Source organism: Homo sapiens, chromosome 7 (genome assembly GCF_000001405.40).
Source record: "Homo sapiens chromosome 7, GRCh38.p14 Primary Assembly".
Lineage (NCBI taxonomy): Eukaryota > Metazoa > Chordata > Mammalia > Primates > Hominidae > Homo > Homo sapiens.
In genome coordinates, this window is record NC_000007.14 from 148477719 (window position 1) to 148481746 (window position 4028).

At 46.1% G+C, this 4028-nt stretch overlaps 1 annotated feature.

Annotated features, from left to right (window-relative positions):
* Positions 830-1349: an enhancer, noted in NCBI's record as "NANOG hESC enhancer chr7:148175640-148176159 (GRCh37/hg19 assembly coordinates)". NCBI's record gives its function as "activates a minimal SCP1, AML or CMV promoter by ChIP-STARR-seq in naive H9 embryonic stem cells {active_cell/tissue: H9 hESC(naive)}" and the evidence as "EXISTENCE:reporter gene assay evidence [ECO:0000049][PMID:30033119]".

The window sequence follows — 4028 nt, forward strand, 5'->3', positions numbered from 1 at the left end:
GGTTCAAGTGATTCTCCTGCCTCAGCACTGAGTAGCTAGGATTACAGGCATGCACCACCATGCCCAGCTAATTTTTGTATTTTTAGTAGAGATGGGGTTTCGCCACGGTGGCCAGGCTGGTCTCAAACTCCTGACCTCAGACAATCCACCCGCCTCAGCCTCCCAAAGTGCTGGGATTACAGACATGAACCACCGCACCCTGGCAGGAAGTCAATTTTTATCTCCACGGACTTCAGAAAGCCCAAGTTTCAATATTTCGGGTTCCTGTCATTAGGCTCTTAGTTTTATAAGAACAGGAACAACTGGACATTTCACCAAGGGTAGAGTATCATGAGGCAGAGCCCTGTCCCTTAAACACTTTACTGTTTTTTTAGAAGATTCCAGGTGGAGCCATACCAGAACTGGGCAGGTGAAATCCTGCCTCAACCAGTCGCTGGAGGATTTATCTTGGAGAAAGCATTGCAGGGTCTGTGGTCGCAGTTTGGACTTTTTGACATTTGATTATTTGCACAATTAAAATTTATTTTAGGCCAGGCACGGTGGCTCATGCCTGTAATCCCAACACTTTGGGAGGCCGAGTCGGGTGGATTGCCTGAGGACAGGAGTTCGAGACCAGTCTGGCCAACATGGTGAAACCCCATCTCTACTAAAAATACAAAAAAAAATAGCCAGACATGGTGGCGTGCGCCTGTAATCCCAGCTACTCAGGAGGCTGAGGCAAGGGAATTGCTTGAACCAGGGCAGCAGAGGTTGCGGTGAGCCGAGATCCTGCCACTGCACTCCAGCCTGGGCGACAGAGCAAGATTCCCTCTCAGGAAAAAAAATAAATAAATATTTTAAAATTACAAAAACTTTTAATGATGGAGCTGGGTGTCTTGTGTATCCTCAGGTCAGAAGCAAAAGAGCCAGTTTGAATGCTCAACCCAAACTCCCTGGCTCTTCTGGGTTAGCCCATGTCCCGGAACTGCTGGAACATCTCTCACCCCATCTCCCGCTATTCGGTCCCACAAGTGCTGCTGTCACTCCTGCTCCTGTTAATACCGCCTCAGTGTCATCAACAGCAGGAAATTACAAAGGAATTCAAATGGAAAACTAATCCCTTACAGGAGACAAAGAGCATTAAAGACAAAGCCCATTGGAATGACTTTCATTTTTTTTCTGGTGCGTGCGTGCATGTGTGTGTGTGTATCTGTGTGTGTGTGTGCGCGTGTGTGTGTGCGTGTATGTATGTGCGTGTGTGTGTGTGTGTCTGTGGGGGGTGTGCATGTGTGTATCTGTCGGGGTGTATGCACAAAAAGCAAAGGAAAGAAAACATCACTCTTGAAGCTTTCCAGGCCCCAGAAGGCACACACCAACCACAAATCTAAGGCCAAAATCTTTCCTATTGTTCAACTATGTTTAACAACAATCCACAAAATTTAATAGAGCAATTTATAATCATGTTCAACAAACAATATATGTGCACTTTATATACCCCCCAAAATTAACATTTTTTTTGCAGTTTTTAGTTCCCCCAAATTTCTCTACCACCTTCCGGTCAATTTTAATTTCCCAAAGAGAAGAGCAACGTGACAGATTTTGAGAAACAGAAGAGACCCTTGACAACTGGGAGCCGGCCTGGCACACAGCTGGGAGCGGTGTCTTCCTGTTAAACAGGCGATTCCACAGAACACCAGCACGCAATCACTCTGTGACTAAGTGGAACAAGACAGGAGCAAGACCACTCCTTAATCATGTCTAAACACTGAAAAAAATAGAATCATTTGTCCAAATCACATAGAAACCAAACATCTCCCCATCCTGGTTAATATGGGTGACCTCTGCTCCTTTACCAGTAACAGCATGAGCCTCTATTCATTCCAACCCCTTGCAGATACTGTCTGTTAAAATATCTAATCACAAAATTTGCTTCCTGACAACATTCGGTCCAGAGCAAAGCTCTGCTTCCTTGGATCAGCCCCAGAACCACCAAATACAGCCCGAATCCTATATTAAGTCCTTCCTAGCACTCTCTTACTGAGGTGCCCCACAATTCTGCATGGGGTTCTCTCTGTTTGCAACAAATAAACCCAACATGTTCCACGACAGGTGTATTCCTGTAGTTCCTGCCCCTTTACTTCAAAATTGCACAATCCTTCTGTGTTAGCTGCAGTTACTCAGTTTACACAGAAGAGCCTCAGACCCAGTTCTCAACACATTCCACTTAAATTATAGCTTCTGGCCGGGCGCAGTGGCTCACGCCTGTAATCCCAGCACTCTGGGAGGCTGAGTTGGGTGGATCACAAAGTCAGGAGTTTGAGACCAGCCTGGCCATAGTGAAACCCCGTCTCTACTAAAAATACAAAAATTAGCCAGGCCTGGTGGCATATGCCTGTAATCCCAGCTACTTGGGAGGCTGAAGCAGAAGAATCGCTTGTTCCTGGGAGGCAGAGGTTGCAGTGAGCCCAGATTGTGCCACTACACTCCAGCCTGGGTGACAAAGCAAGGCTCTGTCTTGAAAAAAAAAAAAAAATTATAGCTTCTGAGGTCTCCTCAGCTGCTACTCCATCATTCAGTCAACAAACATTTGTTTACAGGGGTTTCTGTCTGCTATTTCTCTGGCAGCAAATCCTGGAGACAATAAGAATACCCAGGCTCTGACACTCTGTGGTCTTTATATATGACCAAGTATTAGAACTGAAGGGACCTCCCTTTTACAAATGATTAAACCGGTACTCAGAGAAGTTAAGTAGCTTGCCTAGAACCATTCATACTCTCTTTTGCATGCACGTAACCTGCTAAGGGCATGCTCCCAGGTCAGTAGAGAGGTGGGGGGAAAAGAACAGGGACGTGGAAGAAGCCAGTCAAGGATGGGCTTTTGGATAAAACCTGCGGAGAGTAGTTTCAAGCCAGTGGTTCCCAACTCAGGCAACTTTGCCCCCAGAGGACATTTAGCAGTAGCTGGCATATTCTTGATTGTCATGACTTTGAGAGAGGGTCCTACTGTCATCTGGTGGATAGAAGCCAGAGATGCAGCTCATCATCCACCAATGCACAGGCAGCCCCCCACAGCAAAGACGTGTCCAGTCTAAAATATCAGTCATGCTGATGCTGAGATATTCTGGCCTCCAATGCTGACAGAAAATGAAAGTTTGACAATTTGGGACCACATGCCTGAGCCCCAGGCCAGCTGGGCCTGGAGAACACTGAATTCCCTCTTGAGCAGCTGAGAGCCAAGCCCAAGCTTGCATGGAGTATTTGGAATCAGCTGAGGCATTTGACCATTTTGCAAATTCAACCAATGTTTATTAAGAGAGTGATTGGGTTATTTCCAGGCAAACTCTCCTCCTTTTTTAAAATTTGAAGTTTGATCTAAAAGTGAAAGTAGCACAATACAGGAGAAAGGGCCCGATCCTGACAGCCAGTTGAAACTGAGTCTGAATTTCAGAGTCATCATTTTCTCAATAATACGTCTTCAGGCGGGTTACTTACACTTTCCAAGTCTCTGTTTCCTCCCCTAAGAAATGGAGGTGATCTTGCCTTGTCTTAATAGTGTTGTTGTGAGAGTTAAAACAAAGCAATAAGTAAACAGAAGAAGAACACTGGACCACATAGGCACTGAATGGATGAGAGCTACTTTGAATTTAATCATTCTGTTAGGAACTGGTCAAATAAACCTTTGGCCTCCAGCATCCTGCCAACCATCTGGTCATTAGTCTCGTGCCCAGGCTTGGGGGGAAGTTCATAAGGGTGCATGAACTTCAACTTACCAAGGAGAACTGCATCCCAAAAATCTCATATTACACTACTCTGATTTCTGGCAGAAAAGAAAATGGAGCACATAGTAAAGAAGACAGAGTACACACACACACACACACACACACAAGGTCACAGAGGTCCCCCCTGCCGCCACCCCACAACTTCTGGATGGGCTGTAGTGAAGCCGTAGCATAGGGAAGCCCCTGGCCAGGGCAGAAGGAACAGCTGTCACACGGCTGAGATGATGCTGTCTTCTAACAAGGAAGCCCTGGCACAGCCAGATCAAAGGA